The sequence below is a fragment of the Homo sapiens genome, chromosome 18 (assembly GCF_000001405.40).
Source record: "Homo sapiens chromosome 18, GRCh38.p14 Primary Assembly".
Classification (NCBI taxonomy): Eukaryota; Metazoa; Chordata; class Mammalia; order Primates; family Hominidae; genus Homo; species Homo sapiens.
Window position 1 is genome coordinate 64,615,180 of NC_000018.10, and position 24,355 is coordinate 64,639,534.

Genomic DNA, 24,355 nt, shown 5'->3' on the forward strand with positions numbered 1-24,355 from the left:
GTTTATGTCATCACTAGTATATCCATCAACCTGGGGTTACTCAGGGTTTACTGAGAAATAGGAGAAAGTGCCATATCAGCTCATTTTCCCTTTTTAAGAGAGAGAATTGTCTTTATTGTCTAACATAGGAATCCCATACAACTGCTTGGATCTGTTTTGTCTTGACCTCTACCTCAATTTCAATGACAGAGTGCCTCATAGAAGGCAGCTCACAGCAGAACTGTGCACTTGTCCAAGCACAGCTTCTTCTTCTTCTTTCTGCTGTGTGTCAGTCATGGCCTGGGCTTCTCTGAATAACCCAGTGTTCATTTCACATACAAACAATTAGAGAGGAAACTATTTGTCTTTATTGCTGAGGCTCCAACAGATGTTTTGTTAATAGTGGCAAAGCATCCTCATCCAAAGTATTGCTTTAAGATGGGAAAACACTGCCTGGTGCCAATTTGAATTGTTATAACTTTGAAAATGTTCACATTCTACTTTGAAGGGCAAACACACTTAAAATTAAAGACATCATTGTTTTATATGTTAATATCCTTTACTCACAATTGATTTTTAAATGTTCCGCACATTCATAGAATTTGTACACATTAAAATATTAACTGCTGGCCAAAATTCTGCTAAGGTATGGTTAAAAAATATTGAATGCTTTTTGGGAAACAACTATGTCTTTATGAAATAAATAGGACTTCAGGGCAGCCTTAAATTTCTTCAACTGGTAAATGCTTTTCTTCAGGCTATCACGTGAATTTTAGAAGGCATGCTGTTTTCATGGAATTCACTACTTTGTTCAAGTTAATAAAAAAAACTCAAATATTACAATTTCTATGTATGGTTCTTCTCTTAAATTTTTAAGTTTTTTTTTTAACTAATAATTAAGATCATCGTGTGGAAGGTACACATTCACCATATTCCTGATCAAGAAGGTAATTTTTCATTTTCAAATACCTGAAGCCGTCCTTTCTCTATCGGGTAAGAATGTAAGATGCAATATGAAGCTTTATGACTTTAGTCCAAAACATTTTTATTCATTCATCAATAATCCTCAATCAACTTTTATTTTACCTTGTTAAATACATATTTAGTACTAATAAGAATGATAAGCCAACTTACATTAGCTCACCACACCCATGAATCTAGTGGCAACTTTTGACCACCTTCATGAGGCAGAAACTTGGCCAGGGAGAGAGAGGTAGGCCAAAGACAGAAATTTCTCTCTGAGATTTCTCTCTTCTCTCTCATGCATCAGCATAGACTTGGCGTTTAGTAGATCCACATTCTAGGTTGTGGCTCAGGTTATGATCTAATGTGATATATCAGATCACTCAATTTCTCTAAGATGAACTTTCCTAATATATAAAATGTTAATAATCTCAGATTTTTGAGAAAGATTTAAAAAGTTAATCTCTAAAAGTGATTTCCAAGCTCTAAATGGTTATATAAATATTAGTTATTATTATTTCTCCTGGGCCTACGATTACTTATTACTACTATGGAAAAGAGTGTCCTAACTTCGGTTTTCCTTACTATAGCCTGTGTGACTTCTATTCCAGTTGTTCAGTTTCTAAGAATAGACTGCTCTTTTGTGTGCTCCTGAGTTATCATAATAAAATATCTAGTATCCCCTATGTAATAACCCCTATTTCACAGCATGGCTTGCCTAGAATAATTCCTATGTAGGAATACGACTCTTTAACTAGATTATATGACAGTATGTGTCAACAATGCAGGGATGATGCTGAGAAGATAAAGATTCTTTAATCACTTGAGTTTTACATATACATACGCTTATTTCCTTAATTCCTGGGGAATCTTGCCAAGTAATTAGTAGCCATGCATTATACAAGAAAATATTTCATATATTTGTATTAATATCGACTAGGATGTGATTTACTTTGGATAAAAGTATATTAAAGTGTATGAGATTGAAAGTATACAGTAGAGACAGAAGCATTCACAAGGTAAGTTTAAGGGGGATGGCAATCAAATTGTGGTCAAAGTTTACTTTATAGCAAATTACTAGAGACAAGGATAGACATAAAATAATCATAACTGATTATTCCACTGGGAATATGTAATAATGTCAAATGTGCATGTAAAACAAAAATCACAGAGAACCTAGAAATAGACCCACGCAAGTATGGCCAAATGAATTTTGACAAAAGTTTAAAAGCTATTCAATGTATGAATAAATCAATAAACAGTGCTTAACTAATTGGATATCCACAGGCAAAACATGAAACTCAACCTAAATGTTAACATGAAATGGATCATGACATATCTGCAGAACATATGACTATAAAATTTAGTTAAAATATACGTGAAAATGTTCAAGATCTAGGGCTAAACAAAGAGTTCTAGACCTGACACCAAAACTACAACCCCCAAAAGGTGGAAAAAAAAAAAACATAAATTAAACCTCATGAAAATTAAAAACTTCCCTCTCAAAAAGATCCCATGAAGAGGATAAATACACAAACTACAATGACAACACATATCAAGCAAAGTGTTTGTTTCTAGGATATATAAAGATCTCAAACCTCGAAAAAAAAACCAATTTATTTAGAAAATGGTTAAACATGATGAACAGACATTTCACTTATAAGAATATACAAATGGTAAATAAGTACATGAAAAGATGCTCAACATTATTAGCCATTAAGGAAATGCAAATTAAACCATAATGAGATACCCTTACATTCATATTGGAATGGCTTAAATGAAAAATAGCAACAACACCAAATGCTGGTAAGGATGCAGAGATGCCTGTAGATGGTTGGGAGCATGGAAAGTCCACTGCTGAGTAGATTTTGTAATGAAATGCTCACCATTATCACAGGGTTAATCCAAACACGTGACAGACTGGTTTCAAGGACCACAACGGTATGAATGGTGTGGTTGGAGTCAGGTGATCAGATTGACTGGCACACCGTAACACGCAGACGTTGTTAACTCTGTTGAGACACTGCTGATCATATTGAGAGGAGTCTAAAGTGTGAAGCAATCAGTCCTTTAGGATCAAGCAAGGGCACTACCCCAGGTAATGGCCTCCCTCTGTATGAGACTACAGGTCAACTCTAGCCAAAGTCTTGAGTCTGGCATGCAGTGGTGATCTGTGCATCAGAAACAGAGTCTATGTAGAAGATGTTCTCCTACGCTGAGGCAAAAAGGATGGTGCTTTGTATGATACAGGCTCAAACAGCAGCTTGACTTCACTTAGTTTCATCAGATAACAGACACTTAACTTGGGCATTTGCATGAAGAATCCAGATGGTTTGATCAGTAGCTGTGATTGGTTTCTGCAGTTCATGGCCTCAAAGAGCGGAGTATTAATCTGCCACAGTCTGTAGTTTTCCAAGTTGGCAGGCTAAACACTAGGCTATTGGCAACAACCCAAGCTTCAGTTGAATTTTAACCAGTTTCCTCAAGGTGCTCACAGGCAAGAACTGTGAAGATAGCTGTGAGTTCTGTCCACAGAGCAGAGTGATCTCAACATTTTCTGTTCCACACAGCTGTGCTAAGGTGGAGCAGATGTGGAGGCCCAGTGGATTTCATCAGTTTCCAGCTTAGCCAAACCATCATTGAACCAGGCCCAGTCATTTAGAGGAACATCAGTGAATCAAGGACCTCAGGGGCCCAGCACCTTTTTTATAAGGTATTTGTGTAGGATATGAAGTTTCTTCCAAAGTTATTATTACTACTCTTCAAGTAAAATGAAGATATAGGGGCCAAGGCAAGCCAGCTGCATTCTTGACTATAACATTTCCATTTGAAAAATAAGTCTTTTTGGGTCCTTCCCATCTTGTTAGTCTTTAAGTCCAAGTTAACCAACATCAAAGTGAGGCATTCCATTTCAACAATAACCCAGTGGCAAGCTAATAACTGTATTTCTGGCACTGCTGTCATGGAGGCCATGATGCCAAAATCCCAAGGGTGGCCTCTACATTAAGGCTGCCTCCCTTTGACAAAGGCCCAACTGGCAAAGTCATCGGTCATAGAAACTCAAAACCTAAAAATATCATTCATACATAAGGGGTGCAAAAATAGGGACTATGTCAGTTTGCTGGATAGCTTCCATGCAGACTGTCAGTTTGTGTCCCACACAAAGGAAACTGATTTAAGGATTGTCCAACATAAAAGACTAATGCCAGCGTCAAACTTAAGCACATATTTCTAATATCTCGAGTTCGAAATGGTGCAAGGCCTCCTTTTTGGTGGTGGGTGCTGAGAAGACAGCAGTTTTTTCTTGATTGCCAGGGCAGTTAAGTAGTTTGAATCCATTAACATCATCCCAAGACAATGAGGTTGTCAGGAAGAAATCTGAACTTTCTCTGGGTTTATTAGCAGCCCTTGCAGGTGATAGTGAGGAATAACATTGCAGTAAGGGCTATTGAGACTGAAAAAATACTGACTTGCCAACCAGCAAGAAGTCATGTATGTAGTGAGAGCTTTAAACCTCAGAGGGTAGAGGCACTCATGCTAAATCATGACCAAATATTGATTGCAAGCGGAAGTGGGATTTACAGAAATGAGTTATGTATCACTTTTTTTCTGTGCTTTCCAGGTCTGGAGAATCCTTCTGGTATTGATGTGCTGGGGAAGTATATGCACATGACATCAATTCCAGTTACCCTTTTAGAGGCGGAAACAACATTACATTTACTTCATCCAAAGGATCCTGCCCACAAAGTCATTGATGTGGTTTGGATTTGTGTACCCACCCAAATCTCATGTTGAATTGTAATCTGCAGTGTTGAAGGAGGGGCCTGATGGGAGGTAAATGGATCTAGTGGGTAGATTTTCCCCTCACTGTTCTCATGATAGCGAGTGAGCTTTCATGAGAGCTGGTTGTTTAAAGGAGTGTGGCACCTCCCCCTTTGCTCTCTTCCTCCTTCTCCAGCCAGGTAGGGCATGCCTGCTTCCCCTTCAACTTTCACCATGATTTTAAGTTTCCTGAAGTGACTCCTCAGCCATTCTTGCTGTGCAGGCTGCAGAGCAGTGAGTTAATTAAACCACTTAACTTCATAAATTACCCAGCCTCAGGTAGTTCTTTGTAGCAATGCAAGAAAGAATTAATACAGTCATATTACCTTGTCTTCTCCACTGGGCTCAAAGAGCATTAACTGAATCTGGGTGCATATTTTCCCCTGGTCTGGAGAAAAATGTGCTTTGGGCACACATATCCCTTAGAGCCAAAAAAAGTTTAATTTTCTTCCCCCATTCATATTCTCCATCTCACTTTGAACAGTGTGTCTGGTCTTCATTCCCTCCCCATGTTAATAGAGAGTTAGGTTCCTTCTTTAATCATCTTTACTTTCCTTACAACAGCCGATTTTGGGGTAGAGGGTTTAGGAAAGACTGGTGTCTGATATTGCTTGGCTCTGTGCCCCCACCCAAATCTCTTCTTTTAGCTCCCATAATTCCCACGTGGGAGGGACCCGGTGGGAGGTGATTGAATCATGGGGGTGGGTCTTTCTCGTGCTGTTCTTGCTGGTCTCATGAAATCTGATGGCTAAAAATGGGAATTTCTCTGCACAAGCCCTCTTTTTGCCGGCTGTTATCCACGTAAGATGTGACTTTCCCTTCCTTGCCTTCCACCATGATTGTGAGGCTTCCCAGTCACATGGAACTGTAAGTTCAATTAAACCTCTTTCTTTTGTAAATTTCCCAGTCTTGGGTACATCTTTATCCACAGCGTGGAAACAGACTAATACAGTGTCCCAGAGGAGGAATGTGGTATCATGTCACCAACCAAGGCTTTGCATTTACTTTTTTTTTTTTTTGAGAAGCATGATGGCAGCTCATGGCTCAAGCAAACTTTTAGTATTTGGACCTGTCCAGTGCTCTGTATCAGACAGTAAGAGCCCTTAACTTAGCAATGAGAGCCTCATCGCTTTTTGATGGGGTTATGGCATTTGCACCTTCTGGCTTACTCAAGCTTGGATCATACAAGTTGATGTTCTTTGAGAAGTCCACCTTAATCCAAAGCATCTGCTCCCCATCACCAAGATAACAGTGCTTATGTTCTCTCCTTAGCCTAGTGAAGTTTTCCATGGTGGTAAGCCTGACTACAAGATTTTATCTAGATTTCTTTGGATCAGCTTCTCAGTCTACAAAATAAGTCATTTTTATTATTATAAAAAACTCAGTCTGGAGCAGTAAGAGCCTATGAATAATATTCAATGCCTCATGTATGGTTTCCCACAGGAGTTTGCCTGTCTCGGGGGAATCTCCCAGATAGAGACAAAGCTCCCTTACAGCATATAGCAGGACTCACTGCAGAAATCTCTGAGGTTATTTATGGACCTTTCTGAATGGATCTAAGATAGCAATGATAGATACAGGCGCTTTAAGACTACCCAGCTGTTGCCATTTTTCCTTAACGAGTATGGGCCCTGCCTCCTAATCTCACAAGTGAATCAGACAAGAACCGGGTGATTCACTTGGCTTCTGCCCATAGTTTTCGAGCAGTTTCCCTGTTTTATGCCCAGTGTAGAAGCACATTTTTGTAACTGTTGTCTGAAATGGAGAAGATCTTTCTGAGCATCTAGGACACATCTTAGGATCACTTGTTATTGCTGAGGACACAGAAGTTTTTCCTAGACTGGTAGAGGAATTAAGCAATTGAATCCATCCACATAGTCCCAGGAAATTTAAATGGGCTGGCAGATCCCTGAATTTTATCTGGGTTTATTAGCCAACAGGGAAGACCGGCAAGGAAGTTTCCCTCCCAGAGAAGAGTTAGCAACAACTGGGACATAGTTTGGGCAACTCTTGGTGCTCTGCCTGCCACATCCCAAATTTTTCCTCATCTAATTATTAATAAACTAGAGAACCATTTTTTGTCCACTAGACTATGGAATTTTTCCACATAGTAGCTACTAATTCCTAAAGTCCTCTCTCAAATCTCCTTAATTCATTCACAAGGCCTTTATACTTCTGTTTTCAGAAAGCCAAGTCTCTGTCATAATCCTATGTTCATCACCTAACCTGTCAAGAACTTGGGAAGTTCTACAATTTTATTGTACTTTCAAGTGCACAGTTAGTGCATTCTAGTTTCATGTATGGTAATAGAAGACACAAGACCCAAGTCAGAGAAGACTGCTTATTACTCCAAGTGATAATAGTAGTAAGAGCATCAACATGTTCAGGCCAGTTTCTGGAGCCTATGCTTCTACAGGAAAATGAGACAAGGAACCCAGGATGCCTGCACTGAATTGTGTTACAGGGGATGAACTCTGAGGTTAGGGATTTCTAATCTCTTATAAATAGAATAAGCATGGCTACCCTTAGCTCTGAAGGGAGACATTACCTTTCCTATGTTAGAAAGTAAGAATATCTGCCCTTTGCTACAGAACGGTATAATCTCTCTATATTCTAAGGCTGTTCACTATAAACACAACCTTAAAAAAGACAGTCTGGAACAAAAAGCTGTCAATGTCTTGCTTATAAGACTTGCAGATATTCTCAAGAAACCTATGGATAATTGATTTCCAACACTAAATAATTCAATTAAAAACAATTCAAGTGAGTCAGAAATATTAACTAATATTTCTGGTAGAAGTAACAGAATCAACAAAGAAAATTTTAAGCTGCTGTTTGAAAACAAACTGCATTCATTTTATTACCTTACATTGTCTCATACGAGCTTCTAGGCTTCACCAGTAGTTAAGGCCCATTGGTTTTAAGGAAGAATTTTGTCTTCAAAGGATGAATTTTGTTTAACAGGGTAAACTTCATTAGGACTTTTACTTAGGGACCTTAGTCCTGGCAGAATGGCAATGGGGAGCCTGGGGTTTTGACCCTTTGAATTCAAACAGCCCCATAATACTTGGGAGAGCTTTTAAAGGTAAAAATAAAGCTGGGCATGTTGGGGCATGCCTATGGTCTCAGATATGCAGGAGGATTGCTTGAGCCCAGGAGTTGGAGGCTGTACCGCACCAATGATCACACTTGAGAATAGCCTTTGCATTTCAGCCCAGGCAACATTAGCAAGTTCCCATCTCTTAAAAAAACATAAAAATTACACATGTTAGAAATTTACATAATATAAGCATGCTATATCTGTTCATTAATAAAAATTCAAAAGTTAAAGAAATAGAATGCTTGATTTATATGCCAATGATTTTTTTTTAAAAAAGAACACTCTTCTTTTGAAAGTGTTTTTAAAACACAGCGTAGGCAATATCATGGCATATACATGAAGAAACTCTGTCCTAACATGCTGATCAGATTGTATTCCCTGTAAAAACCCGTTCCACTAAAATGATGATGGAGGATGGGAAATGTCTCTTTAAGATGCTGGAGGCTTAATAGGACTCAAAGCCTTAAATTCTCCATTTGAAAGAGAACAGTGTGGTTGGGCCTCATGCCCCATTTCCTCCTACATTAATTTTTGCTATAGGGGGTTTTTGACATGAAGGAGAGAAGTCCTAGGGCTGTGCATAATGTTCTGCCCATATTGTAATAGAAACCTGCCAGATGCTTCCCTTCCAAAGGAGAGGGATGAAGGTCAATGGGTAAGTGTGCTTGTTGTGAAGCGTTTTTTACTGGCTGAATTATACCTGCCGTGTCAGCAGTACCCAGACTCACCTCTGAGGAAGAGCAGAGGGAGGATAAAGCAAAGGAGAATTTCAGGTGGTAACTTAGTGCAGAAGAACAGCACTTAGGGAATATTGGTGGTGAAGAGAACTCTACGCCCTTATCAAAGGTCATACATAGGAGTCTCTCTCTCTCTCTCTCTCTCCCCCTCTCACTTGCTCTTCCTGTCTTTCAATATCCCTTCAGAAGGAACAAGACATGTGTTTTTGATACAAGATACATTTTTCTTCTGTTTATTATTCTCCTTGTCACCTCTGATTATCCTGTTTTCTCTCTAGCTAGTTCTGGAAACTTGTTTCATTGATCTTAAAGACATACGGAGAAGGTGTTCATTATGTGTGCTTGTCTAGTGTTCACCTGTACCTGTGTGTTTATGTGAATGTATTTGTGTGCGTACCTGTGATTAGAAAGCTTAGGGGTACTTAAGGAGCTTCCGTTTGTCTTTATTTTTGGTTTACAGTGGTCGGGATTCTGATAATTGTCTTATATTCCTCCTTTATTGTTTCTTGGGCCTTGGAGTCTCCTCTGACCTTCACTTCCCTTGTTTTCTGTGGTTTTAGGATCTGGATTTAGCTGCGATTGGGAGCTCAGACATCAATTATGAAGCAGAGGATGTGCTTTGAAACTAGAGAACCGGTGAGTCTGTTTGGTGAGATTCAATAATGTTCCAAGTAGAAGAACATTTGCTTAATTAACATAGAGTTTTTCTACATATACTATGTAGAATCTTCATCAACTAAGCTTCTCAATGTTCTTGCTGTATATCAGTGTGACTGAAAATGGCAGTGTGAGACTATGATTTTTATTACTATAAATGCTCACTACCACTTCAGGTGCATGACGTAACCACCAAATTATGGACGGCTGTGGGATGAGGCAGGCAACAGGAGCCTGAACCAGGATTGGTCCCAGGAGCTGAGCCTGGGGATTAAACGGGAAAGGAAAAAACAATATTCTGAGATAGGAGTTAGGCAGGAGGAGCATCCTTGAAGATGGGGTCTGAGCATAGGAACTGGGCAGGGTTGAAGCTTGAGCTATGTCAAAATATATATCAAAGAACAACAACCGTTTTTTTTTTTTTAATTAAAGCCTCAATTTACTCACTTGCTAGGTTAACGAACAGGCAGTTGCAATGAAATTCTCTGAGTAGTACTCAAAAGAGAAAAACGATCAGAGTTTTCAAACTGTTTCAAAGGGTTACCGCTGTTTTGAAAACTGGAATCTTAAGCAAAGTTCATAATGGCTAAATATATTTTATTACTTATGAATAAAGGACATATTTTCAGTTCTGGCGTACCAAGGTTACCTAAAGCTCTTGGTGGTTCATGTTTTTCCACTGTTAGAACCAGTTGCAAAGAAACACAACACGTAATTTTGTTATTTGTCACCCAAGCAGCCATAAATGAAAGTTTTTATGTTTTAAAGAAATACAAGCAAATTGAATAAAAAGAAGAACATTTAGGCCATGGTGAAGGTTGGCTTCTCTAGAAGCGGATGCTAAGATGAGGTTCAGGATGTAAGATGTTAATCAGGGATCAATTCTTTTGAAAGGAGGGGGAAAAAGCATGATTTGTAAAGAAAGAGAAGGCAAATTTCAACACAGGGCTAGCAAAACTTCAGCTAGCCTGGGTCAGCTGAAGGAGGCGCATCCTTGAAGATAAGGTCTGAGCATAGGTACCAGGCAGAGTTGAAGCTCGAGCTATGTCAAAAACTAAACCAAAGAACAACAAACCGCTAATAGGGCCAGGCCCTTACACCCTTACCGTATTTGGGCATTGCATATGAACTTCCTAAGAAATGGTGTGTCCTTGGGTGGGTGGCTCTCTGCAGCTAAGGCAGACCCTGAAGTTGTTGGTATTTGCAGACTGTCTGCTGCTTACATGTTTACATACCTCATGGCCGAGCAGCAATTCCTAACCGAATACAAAGAAGGCCTGATCCAAAAATAAACAAAACCATGGAAGGTTTGAAAAAAACACTTCACAAAAAAATACATGAATGTCCAGGGATGCTAATTTGTACATGTGATATGATAGAGTATATTTGCATATATCATTAGACATCAGTAAAATTAAAGCCAAAAAGAAATATCATTACACAGCTACCTGTCTAATATTACAAATAGGGACAAATTTCAAGAGTTATAAAAAATGTGGAGCCACAAGAATACTCATATACTGCTGAGATTTAACATTATACAACTACTTTGGAAAATAGTTGGATAGTTTCTTTAAAAGTTTTAAAAAACTACCATATGGTCTACCAATTCCACTCTTTATTATGTATCCAAGAGAAATAAAAATAGGTGGCCATACAAGTGTGCATAAATGTTTATAGTAGCTTTCTTCATAATAGCCAAATCTTAGAAATTATTGAATCTCACCAAACAGACTCACTGGTTCTCTAGTTTCAAAGCACATCCTGTGCTTCATAACTGATGTCCCCAAAATGTATCAAAAGATGGAAGGAATATCAATCATCAACATAAAGAAACAAACAACGGATACACACAATTCCAAAAACATAATGCGGAGCCAGACAAGAGTGCATCATGTGTGATTCCAATTATGTAAAACTGTAGAAAATGATTTAATCTACACGGTGACAAAAATCTCATCAATGCTCTCCTGAAGCTGAGGGCCAAAGAAGAGACTGACTAGAAAAACGTGTAAGGCAATATATTGAACTAGAAGAAATGTTCTATCTTGTTAGATTTTGTTGGTGTAAACATTTGTTTAAATGTATCAACTATATACATAAAATAGTCATTTTATGTAAATTATACTTTAATAACTATATAAAATATTTGTACCTGACATTTTGGATATCTTTATTGCCATATAATTCACATATTGTAATATTCACATGTTTAAATTGTACAATTCAGTAGTTTTTGGTATGTTGGATTTGCACAATAACTAAAATCTAAGCATAGACAATTTTCATCATTGTTAAATAAATGTCCTAAAAGAAACAACTTTATGAGTAGTTTTTTCTCTCATCTTTCTCCCTATTTCTTGCTCATCCTCTCTTTTTCTCCATATGTAGAATAAACATATCTACAATGCTTCTAGCATCTGCTTCTAGATTTTTTATTTCTCCATATGTAGAATAAACATATGAATGACACAATGTAGTTTATATATACATTAGTTTGTAAACATTTACCTAAGTAACTACAATTATTTGTAAAGCTAAACATAAATCCAAATATTCAAGTTTATGAATATTTAATTTATGTAAGCATTTCCCCACTATTGGAAATATAGTTTATTTTATTGAAGGCTTTTGAAAAAAGTAAACTATGAGATATAGAATATATTAACAGCTTTTTTGTTTGTTTAAATGAAAACAATTGCCTTATTTCTTACCTTCTTTCTAATGAAAAATAATGATTCCAAAAGATTAATAATGAAGAATGTTTAGGGATCATTTTTATCAATTTTTAACTATCAATTGAATTTTTAATTGTTAATTTAATCACCACACTGCTAATTAAAATTATGGATTAATGGTTAATGAATAATTTTGATTAATCTTTTGGAATCAGTTAATAGGAATATAGAATTTTGATAATTACTTGGATTTAAAATCATTGCTTCTTTTAGCATTACATTTGTGATTTTGTGATTTGGGTGTTACTAGATTTTAGGGAGATATTTTAAATTATGAAACCCGGAAAACTAAAGATATTTTGAGTAACTAGTGCATATATTATTTTGGGAAAAAAAAAGATTACAGTAAAGCCATTAGTAGAGGTTACCTTTTTTTGCCCTTGGAGTAATCAATGCACTCACTCAACACACCTTCCTAGGAGAAGATGCGAGAGTTGTAGAAGTTCAAAACACAAAACAAGATTTCTTTTCATCTTTACATATCTGACCCATAATGTTTCAAGAGATAAATTTTGGAGGGGAGTCATCTACAGGAACCTCTTCTCAGTCACAAAGAAGTGAAGTTCTAAGATGCTGGGTTTTTGGTCTTACATGTCATTGAAATTGGCTTCAATAACATAGTGGAAAACTACCTGAGTGGTATCAGGTTCACTAGTTTTCACATAAACCTTTGTTTGTTTGTTTGTTTGGATGGTCAAGAAGCTCTATGCCTGCTGTTACTGGCATTGTTTTATTGAGAGTGTGAACCATAATGAGCAATTGGTATTCTCCCAAGATGTGTGCATAAAAGACTTCTGTAATCAAAATGTTGAAGGCCTGGGAAACTCTTTTGACTTGGAGGGCCAGAGAGTCAGTCTTTAAGGAAACAAATCAATTATTTTCAAATAAGTACGAGATAAAGCTTGACATTGCTATCCCATTTGTGGAGACAGGTAGGATTTATTTGTCTGTTAATGTACACAGGTCAGCCATTGCTCCTAGAAGTGTCCCACCAGAGGAATAAACATTCTTTGATTTGCAGTATTATTTGAGATGTCAGTTGGATCAACTTTTCACTTCATGTATCTAGCCTTCTTGAACTCTTAATATGCTTTTTTTTTTCTGTTAGAGATAGGGCAATAGATCATTTACTCTAGATAAATAATTATTGTTTGGTGATTAGTATCAGTCACCTTAAAAAAATAATATTTCCTTTATAGGACCAAAGCAATCTTGTTCAATTCTGCACTACTGGCTATGAATATAAAAAGAAACATATTTTGAGAACATATTTGTAGTCTCAATCCCCAGAAGATACTGTTTGTGAATTACGGGACTCAATACAGCCTTTCACTGTGTAGGTAAGTTTTATTACTAGTCTAGGTTTCAGGCACATCTGTAGATATCGAGCATAAAGCATCTAAATAAGTATTTCCCAAAATATTCCTCTATTCCCTTAATATGTTCTGATAATAATTTACAGTGTTTAATAATTTGAGATGATATATACAACCTTCTCCCCAAGTTGTAACACAAAGAGAGTCGCTGGAACCTGTAGAATTACACACTGTGGGAAGATTTTCACTGGTCATCTTTTTTTTCTCTTTTTTATCCTTTGATAAAATTGAATGGTGAGTCCATCAAATAAGCAACATTTAATCAGCTTGAGTTCAGGTAGGCCTAGTGATAATGTTTTACTTTAAATCTTTTCTTAATTTGAAATTTTACTATTATCAAATCTAGTTATTGTAATTCCAATTCATGACTCCTCCATGTAACTCCTGCAGATTTAGAAACTTTAGGGATTTTATGTTGGGGTCATTTGTTTTCTTTGATCTCTGAAGCATTTTTTCCTGTGCTTTTCTTATGCACAATATGTTCCTCCTCAGGACTTCTCAGATTATGATGCCAGTCATCGGCAATAACTAGAGATTTTAAAACTAGAGATAGTAAAATGCATATTTACAGTGGGTCTGGAGTGGGCACTGGGGACCTGGTTTGCATTTGAGACAAGGAATCCTTTTTATTCTGATGTAGGTGGTTCACTGACTACCACTGAGAAGAACAGTTTTGCCTAATGTTATGTCTATACCATATCTCCCTAGTTATACTATCAGATTCTTTAGCTTTCTGTGTGAGGAATTCATAGCATTGACCATGGTTGGCATCTAGAATATATTTCTTAAATCAATTACCACTTAATCCAGTTTCATCAATAGCTTCACTTGGTGCTTATTCATGGCCTATGGCTTGTTAGTTGGATGTCTGTCTCCCTCATGCCTGCTTGCCTGCCTGCCTGCCTGCCTTCCTGCCTTCCTTCCTTCCTTCCTTCCTTTCCTTCCTTCCTTCCTTCCTTCCTTCCTTCCCTCCCTCCCTCCCTTCCCTCCCTCCTTGTTTTTTCCCCCTAGTGTCTATCAAGAGAGATTTTCCCGAGGCCTAGAAATGCTTGAGAATCACCACAAAATGAATCTAATTGTACCTGGGCTAATCTTTTAATTAATATAATGTTTCATACAATTTAAATAAAAATGTATTGAAATGACTTATTTTTAATTGGTTATCAATTGTGGTCTGGATTTGTTTTTTTCAATTGGAAGACATGACACATACTTCTGCCTAGCACTTGTTAAAAATTACGTTACTGTTTTGATAGACAAAGTGGTAAAAATAAATCCCTTGCTAACATTGTCTGGGATATCATTTGTTATTATTAGTGGAGATGGGACGCCAAGTCCCTGGAATGCTAAAATAAGGAAGATGAAGTAACAGAACATTATAAAAACAGATGTGATGGGGAAATGGATTGGAAATTAACAAAGAGATACAAGAACTTAGAATCAGTAATGCTGGCTCTATTTTTGTTTCATTTATTTATTTTAGAACTATATTTTGGAAATTGGTGCCTGTGCTTCACCTGAGAAGTTGAAGGGTTTTTTGTTTTTTAATGTCTTCTGTGAACAAGCTTTTTTTTTTTTTTTTTCAGAAATTTCAAGTTGAAATTAGCTGAAATAATTCTTAAAGAGACAATGCTATGCCATTATGGAGATAGCAGGAGTAACAATTGAAAGCTATGAAACTGTAGGGAAACAGTAACTCATTCTGAAGCCAATTTTTATATTGCTATTGCAGACTTACCACTCAGTGGTCACTCTATCTACTCTGTCATCTTCAAGTTCACAGCAATTATTTAGAGAGATGGTTTCTGTCTTGATAGACAAGATGCAAAATACCAGAACATCTACTGAAAATTAAACAGGGAAGACAGAGGTAAATTGAAAAACCTAGAGATGTGATTAGTTTGTTGGATTAGATGTTCACAAATTAGCTCTGCAGTCTCGAGTGTTGAATAAAGGTTTTAAAGAATGAGTTGCAATACACTCGAGGCAACTTAAAACATATATGAACAAAGGCATGTCAGGAAAGTTTTTTAAAAAACTACATACTGGCTATATTCTGAAACCATAGCAATACAATGAATTCAATAGATTGAATTTTTCCCATATCCTAAGAAAAGGCAAAATTCAATAGAATATTACTTTTTCTTATCCCACAAAGAAAAAAATAACAGTGAAATTTAATTCAAATTCAACCAAGCCCATGTGAAATGGCTGTGTATAAGAAACTGGAGTTCCATTCAAAAATGTTTTTAAGAATATAGATAGATGCTTATTTGTATTATAAACTCAGCTATTATTCATGAATTCATGAAAACTCCATATAAATTTTTTTGAATCTATAAATATCAACGTTATTTGTAGTTAAAATTAGATAAGTTGAGAAGTGATAAGTATTGGATGTTTCATCATTTAGAACTAGAACTTTGAAAGGTAGAAAATTTTGTGATGAATTTCAAAATAACCAAATAATATAATAAATAGTGTTTAACACAGTTATTATGCAGATGTAGATGAACACGTAAAATGTAAAAAAGTGAACACTTGCTGACTGACAACTTTGAATGATTTCCTCTCATTTTTAAGTTGATGTCCAAAATTCTTGACAAGAAATTTCTTGACCTGTCCAGAGCCTCTCTGTTCAACTCTCAAGCTTTTCTGACATCTTCTTACCATCTGAAACCATTCTAATTCTCCCTTATCTCACTCAAAGAGCCATTCTCTGCCTCAGAACCTTTGCCCATTTAATTTCCTCTGCCTGGAATGACAATTCACTCTCTTTTGATTCACAATTCAGCTTCCACCTCTCCCTCCCTCCCCAGCTTCTGGACTTTCCCACTTTCCTGCCTGCCCTGGCCTGACTCCTGTGTTGTGACCTCATATTTCCTTACAATAATGAGCTTTATGACACACTATTCTAATTATCCACCGAATAGTCTGTCTTTTTGGCTAGTGATGGGGTTTGGATCTATATACCCACTCAAATCTCATGTTCAATTGTAATTCCCAATGTTGGATGTGGGGCCGGGTGGGAGGGGATTGGATCATGGGGGCAGTTCCTCATAATGCTTTAGTTCCATCCCCTTGGTGCGGTTCTCATGATTGTGAGTTCTCAGGAGATCTGGTTAATTAAAAGTGTGTAGCACCTCCCCCCCCCCCCCAATTCTCTTTTGTTCCTGCACTGGCTGCTTAAGATGCACCTGCTCCCACTTTTCCTTCCACCATGATTTTAAGTTTCCTGAGGCCTCCCCAGAAGTCAAGCAGATGCCCAGCACCATGCTTCCTGTAAAGCCTGCAGAACTGTGAGCCAATTAAACCTCTTTTTTTATAAATGACCCAGTCTCAGATATTTCTTTATAGCAATGACAGAATGGCCTAATACAGCTAGGAAAGAGTGGATTTTCTACCACTCTTCTTCATTGCCATCCATATGACACAGAGTGTAATATATAGGAGGTGCTCCAAGGTATTATTAAATGAGTAAAAGAATTGAGCATTTAAGTCATCAAAGAATGTATATTTGAAAAGGTGTATGCAGCCTTCTTTAACTCAGAAGTCTGATACCATCACTCACAGGTGGCCATGCTACTTCTACTCAAATAATTCCATTCATAATTAATATTTTCAGGCAGTGATTTCACTTCTTTCCCTCAAATAAATTTCCTTTTTTTTTTTTTTTTTTTTTTTTAGAGAATGTCTCACTTTGTCGCCCAGGCTGGAGTGCAGTGGCACAATCTTGGCTCACTGGAACCTCCGCCTCTCATGTTCAAGGGATTCTCCTGCCTTAGCCTCCTGAGTAGCTGGGAGATCATGAGAATGCCTGGCTAATTTTTGTATTTTAGTAGAGATGGGGTTTCACCATGTTGGCCAGGCTGGTCTCAAACTCCTGACCTCAGGTGATCCACCCACCTCGGCCTCCCAAAATGCTTGGGATTACAGGCGTGAGCCACTGTGCCCAGCCGCTTTCTCTTTTTTATACCCTCTGAGGAATGATGCATTATCTTTTCTACCTCCTAAATTACATTAAGCGTGTGCACTTTCAGGTTTCTTTCACAAATTGTAGTATATCTCCTTGCCTCTGTCTCCCACTCCTCTTGTTCACTGATACTTCACTCCATGTTCAAGGTAATTTCTCTAAAACGACAGTTAATCATATTCACGATTAATTTTTAAGGTATTTTAAATTATCTAGATGGTACTTTTCAAAAATCTGTTTTTACATCAGGTTGAGCTCTTGCCATAGCTTTATATCCTATCATCTCTATGACCGTTTTACTGAATGTTTTACTTTACAGCCACTCTTCTCTTTAACTTAAATTTATTTAAAATAAAAATTTCTCCAATTTTTAGGTAGGAAAACATCTTCCCTTACATGAACAATAAGCAATGATTAAACGAAAATCACTGAAAACTTGACAATATTATTATAAATTAGAGCTGAAAATGCCTTTTTGGATGACACAGAATGTGGAGATTGCTCCTTTTCTAAAAAAAATAGCAAATGCCAGGGAAGTGTTAAAATGCATGTTATCCACAAACTAAAACATGCACTCTAAGATAATTACAAAAATTAAAATACAATTGAAGAGGAAATATCTTGAGATAGAGATTTAATAGTATTTGATGTTCTGACCCAATACTCCATCTCCAGTGTTAGTTTTCTCACCATGTAGGACTCAGCCTTTTCCACCTCTTCCCTGAACAATTCCTTTGCAGAGCATGCCAGATCCTTGGTCATTTAAATTTTACCCAGCTTTTCAGCTCTGTGTCCCTACCATCTTCCACATGTGCCTAGTGTCCTGCCATGCTGAACTGCTGGTAATCTCCTAATCCAGTGTTTCTCAGTCTCAGCACTGCTGATACTTTGCTTCAGATAATTCTCGGTTTGAGGGGATTGTAGTGTGAACTGTCCCTTGTTAGCACCTCTGCTGGCCTCCACCCACTAGATAACAATAGCACCTACCAGTTGTCAGAAACAACATCACTCCTAGACATTTACTGAGGCAAAAGGCAATGGCAACTCCATTTAAGAACCACAATTCTAAACTGAATACAAAGTTTTTTGCATCCTTGATGTTGTGACATGACATTATTTTGCCTGCAGTGTCTTAGAGAAACCCTCTTACTCTTTCCTGTGCTCTTCCACCCCAACTAGTAAAGCTCACTCAAGAAGAAATAGATAACCTTAATATCTCTATATCTATTTTAAAAATTATACTTGCAGTTTAAAAAAACCTGCTAACAAAAAGAAAAGAAAAGAAAACCAAAAAATCTGGTCTTTACTACTTCAGTCTACAGTGCCAATTCTGGTACCACAATTCGGATACTACAACACAACAAACACATTTTAACAGAAAGAAAACTACAAACTGACATCAATCATGAATATAAATGCAAACATTCTTAACAAAATTTTATCAAATGGAATCCAACCATACATTATTTAAAATCGTAACATGAATTTTATCTCAAGTATGTAAGGCTGCATTAACAATTGAACAGTATAAAATGTAATATACAATATTAACTACAAGAATAAAAACTTCATGACTTTATCAATAGATACAGAAAAAGGAATTGACAACATTGAAATCACTTCTCAATAAAATTTCATCAAGATAGAACTAGAGGAGAACTAAGTCCTTATAAAACCAGGACTAGAAGATCACTTCCTCAATCTGATAAAGCAAATCTATGTAAAACTTACAATTTTATTATATTTGATAGTGAAAAACTGTCTTTATGATCAGGAATATGACAAGGATCTTTACTCTCGTCACTTGTATTCAAACTGTAGCTTCTACCCAGTACAAGAAACCAATAAAAGAAATGAAAGATACCCAGATTGGAAGAAAAGTAGTAAAACTGTCTTATTTACAGATGACTTGAACTTCTGTGCAGAAAATCTGAAGAAATCTGCAAAAAAAAAAAAGCTACCAGAAATAATAGATAATTTTAGCACTGTTTCAGAATAAAATATAAATGTTCAAATGTTCACAAGCCAATTTTTTATATGCTAGCGAAGAACAGTAAGACATTAAAATTCAAGGAGATGATACCATTAACAATAGAGTCACCATAATGAAAATGCTTAGAGATATTTCATTTTCCTAAGATGTGCAGCAGATCTAAGCTGAAAAGTACAAAGCATTGCTTAATGAAATAATAGAAGACCTAAATAAATGGAGACGTGAATGGATAGAAGGGAAGATGCAGTGTAGTCAAAAAGTCCATTTCCTGGGGAAAGGAAATGATGAATAAGCAGAGCCCAGAGGACTTTAAGGTTGGTAAAACTACTCTGCATGATACTATGATGGAGAATGCATGTCATAAATCTGTCCAAAGGCGTAGAATGTACAACACCAAGAGTGAGCCCTAATATGAACTATGGACCTTGGGAGATAATGATGTGCCGATGCAGGTTCATGAATTGTAAAAGACGCACCACTATGATGGGGGAAGTTGAGAATGAGGTAAGCTAATGCGTGAGTGGAAGCAGCAGGTGTATGGGAAACTCAGTAGCTTCTTAACCTTGCTGTTAACCTAAAACTGCTCCGAAAACAGTAAGCAAACACAAAGAAAAAGAACAAAAATAAGAACAAATGAGATTTACTCCACATTCATTACAATTTTAGTAAAAATTTCAGCAGATTTTTTTTTCTTTACTGTTTAGGAAAAATATACACTTGAATTGTAAAAATAGATACAAAAATGCCAAAGATTTATACGTTCTAAAAAAAAAAACTTAGAAAAAGAACAAAATTTATGAATGAAAACTACTTGATTAAGAATTATTATAAAGCTGTGGTTAAAAAACAAAAAGTTATAAGCATGGAGATAGATAAGTATCTTAATGGAAAATAGTGTTCAGAAAATATGCTGACATATATATGAGCAATTAATTTTTAACTAGGACAAAAAGGCAATTCTGAAACAAATTCTATTCAAGAAGTTGTGTTTGTGTATTTGTGTCTAAAAGCAAAACTATAATTGATCCATACTTCAAATAATACACAACATACAATACCATATGGATAACAGACCTAAATATAAAAGCCGAAACTATACAACTTCTGGAATAAAACGCAGGAAGAAATATTTTGACCTTGAGTGAAGCAAAATTTCCTAGAACACAATACCAATCATGATTCATAAAAAGAATAAATTGGACTTCATCAAATATGCAAATCCTTGATCTCAGAAATATATTACTAAGAGAATGAAACAAACAAACAAGCCACAAATTGGGAGAAAATATTTGCAAAGCATATATCTGAAAAGGAACTTATATCCAGAGTATATAAAGAACTTTGAAAATTCCATAAGAATCAAACACAATGATTGAAAACAAGGGCAATATATTAAGAAAAAAACACTTTTCTAAAGAATTTATATGGATGCAAATAAGCTAATAAAAAATACTCAATGTCATTAACATGAGGGAAATGTAAATTCAAACGATATTCTAAATCAGCTGGCAATCTACCAGAATTACTGAAATTAAAGACCTATCATGCCGAGTGTTAGTGAGGTTGTGGAGGCACTGGGATTCTCACGCATGGCTTCTGGGAATGAAAATGCAGTTTTCAGTTTCTTAAAATTTAAACATAGTTCATGATTCTGCCATTCCACTTCTAGGTATTTACCAAAGATAAGTGAAATCTTACTTTTATACAAAAACTAGTACAAAAATGTTTATAATTTATTATAGTCCCACCCAGACTAGAAACAACCAAGATGTCTATCAACAGCTGAAAGGATGAACAAATCATGATTAAGAAACTACACACGTGTCTAAAAACAATTATCTTGTAGCAAAAGAAACCAGGAAAACAGTATATGCTGAGTGATTCCAAATATATTGAACTACATAGTGGCAGTACACAGGTCAGTGACTGCCTTGGGTTGGTTGGGTGGGACAACTGAGGAGGGACAGGAGAAAGGAAGTACAGAGGGAATCCTTGGGTGTGATTGACATATTCTCTAATATAGTTGAGATCATGGCTTATTGCATATATACATTGGTAAAACTTATCAAAGTATATACTTCAAATATGTGCCGTTTCTTTTATGTCAATTATACCTCAATAAAGCTGTTAGAGAAAACAATCTACTCTTTACCAGACACCGTATTAGAGAATTTTGTTCATAGTTTTAAATTCTTATGGATGTTACTGAAAGGTAAGTGTTAGCACAGTCTTTTTATAGTGATGAAATGAAGCTGAGACACTTTGTGAACTGCAGAAGGTTACACAAGAAAATGAATTGTGAATTTGAGATCAAACTCTGGCTTTCTGACTTCAAAAGACCAGATTCTACCAAGCAAGCCTTTCCCCCCCCCCAGTTTGAGATACTCCCTGTCCCCTAAAGTTTCCTGGCCACTCCCCCAACCTTTAGAGTATTCCTAGCTAGAGCCTCAGATACCACTGAATAGAGACAAACTATTGACATTTTACTTGGTCCCAGCTCCTGGTCCACAAAACCTGACAGTCTAACCAAGTGTTTGTTTGTTTGTTTGTTTATTTATTTATTTAATTTTTGACGGAGTTTCGCTCTGTTGCCAGGCTTGAGTGCAGTGGCACGATCTTGGCTCACTGCAACCTCTGCCTCCCGGGTTCAAGCGACTCTCCTGCCTCAGCCCCAGAGGAGCTGGGACTACAGGTGCACACCACCATACCTAGCTAATTTTTGTATTTTTAATAGAGATGAGGTTTCACCATGTTGGCCAGGATGGTCTCTATCTCTTGACCTCGTGATCCGCCTGCCTGGGCCTCTCAAAGTGCTGGGATTACAGGCATGAGCCACCTCACCCAGACAGGTTTGTTTCTTTCCAAGGGTTGTGAGGAAAGATTTGTTCTAACTCTTTCCTTGGCTTATAAATGGCTGCTGTCTCCCTATATCTTCACATCATCTTTTCTGTGTTCATTTCTATGTCCAAATTTCCTCTTCTCTTAATGGATACTATGTACATTATGTAGGTGATGGTTTCACACAGAGCTTCACTACAGAGCAGTATATCCATATAACAAAACTTCTCCTGTACACCTTAAATGTACACAAATTTAAAAATAAGGAAAGAAAAACTGCAATTGAGAAAACATTTTAAAATAATAACAAAACATCACTAAATATTAAAATAGAAAAAAATTCTCTTCTTACGTGGATGCCAGTCATATTGGATTAGGCCTTACTCTAATGACCTCAGTTTAACTTAATTACCTCTGCAAAGAACCTGTCTCCAAATATAATCACTTTTGAGGTTCTGGGGGTTAAGACTTCTACCAGTGAATTTGTGGCAGAGGAAGGAGATGCAATTCAGCCCATAACATAAAGGGTTTTTTTTTTTTTTGGTTTTGTTTTGTTTCAATAGAACAAACCCTGTACAGTAACTTCATTGCACTACAGTCTACATTTGAGGACCAGCTGTTTACAGGAGTTGCAGGGAATGCCAGATACTAAGCAACTGGGGACACTGGATGGTATAATCCCATCTTTTGAAGGGTAAAAGCCACTTTCCATGGGAAGTGCCTCACTGGGAAATATTGACTGTGCTCACCCCAAACTTAAAAGCAGTCATCATCAAGAAGCCAAAGGAAAGCTTCCCAGGATATAGTACTAAACGAGAATAGGAATGTTTAGAGCTTGTACCATCAGCAGTACCACCCCCATTCAATGCAGAAGCGGAGGAAAAGGCCCAGTTTTGTGTTCCCTCTGGCCCTAACAAAATTCAACCAGCTGTAACACCCTTGGACTCAAGCAAAGACCATGCCCCATAAGCCGATGACAGCAAAGGGAAATTTGCCATGAAATATAGAGACACCCCTCTCACCAAACTCAACTGAACCCTCCACTCTCATTACTGACACTGTTCAAGTTCCAGCTTGCCCTGTTCTTGTAAACGGTGACTGAGGAGGAATGCCATGAGGTTTGAGGATAGATGCTGCTGCCAGTTTTTCACAGAGATGCTGATTCAGAGCAAGGGAAGGACTCTTGTGGCTGATATATTTAAGTACAAGGAAAGAAACATTATTTAACTTCCCAAAGTATTCTCTTTAATAGCAGGAAAGCAGCTGAATTTTTAGTAATTGGAGATCATTCTGGGCTCAATTTACTTGCATCTCTTTGTGCTCTAGTTCATTTTGGAGGTTCGAATGATTAGATCTAATTAAACAAATTGAACATGGATGCTGAGGACTGTTGGGAACATAAAATATTTTATGTTACTTTCATATAAAAGTTCAGATTTTATGTGACTGAAAACATGGTACTGAATATCTCGACACCCATATGGATATTAAATACTAGAATTGTGCATTTAGTGAAGACAGTTTCATTTTAATGGAAGTATTTATCATAATGATTAAATTTAAGAGAAACAACTTTTCAGACAGATTAGAATTTCTGATATAGAGTTTGATATACATTAAGATAATTTTTATGTTTGCCATTTAATTTTAATAATTTTAATATTTAAGAAAATACTCTTGAAAACAAAATTCATATTCAAATTTTAAATACTTTTGTTTATAGTTTTTTAAAATAAATATTTTCATATAGTTGCATTTTATAGTTTTGGAACAGCCCAGGGGCTAAGAATTTTTAAAACACATTTAATTGATTGAAAATAATTAAAAGAAGAGTAATATTTTATGACATATGAAAATCACATGGCATTAAAATTTCAGTGTCCATAAATTAAGTTCGATTGGAACACAACCACGGACATTTATTTATGTATTATAGCTGTTTTCAGACTACAGCAGCAGAGCTGAATAGTTGCAAGAGAAAACCGTACCAATGGCCAGGAGCATTGGTTCACACACCCGGCTAATTTTATTTTTGTATTTTTAGTAGAGAAGGGGTTTCACCGTGTTAGCCAGGATGGTCTCGATCTCCTGACCTCGTGATCCACCCGCCTCAGCCTCCCAAACTGCTGGGATTACTGGTGTGAGCCACCGTGCCTGGCCGTTTTATAACTTTTAAAAC

The 24,355-nt window shown here is 36.6% G+C and overlaps 1 long non-coding RNA gene across 1 annotated transcript, besides 1 other annotated feature; it reads right to left on the reverse strand.

Annotated features, from left to right (window-relative positions):
• Positions 7,183 to 8,382: an enhancer, noted in NCBI's record as "MED14-independent group 3 enhancer chr18:62289597-62290796 (GRCh37/hg19 assembly coordinates)". NCBI's record gives its function as "activates an origin of replication core promoter dependent on BRD2, BRD4, P300/CBP and CDK7 cofactors, and independent of MED14, by STARR-seq in HCT116 cells {active_cell/tissue: HCT116}" and the evidence as "EXISTENCE:reporter gene assay evidence [ECO:0000049][PMID:35650434]".
• LOC105372167 (uncharacterized) lies at positions 15,111 to 16,172 on the reverse strand. The gene is made up of 2 exons (XR_935578.2): positions 16,043 to 16,172; positions 15,111 to 15,216 (listed from the first exon to the last, which is right to left on the reverse strand). It is a non-coding gene; the product is annotated as an uncharacterized LOC105372167 (long non-coding RNA).
• Positions 16,173 to 24,355: the final 8,183 nt, after the last annotated feature.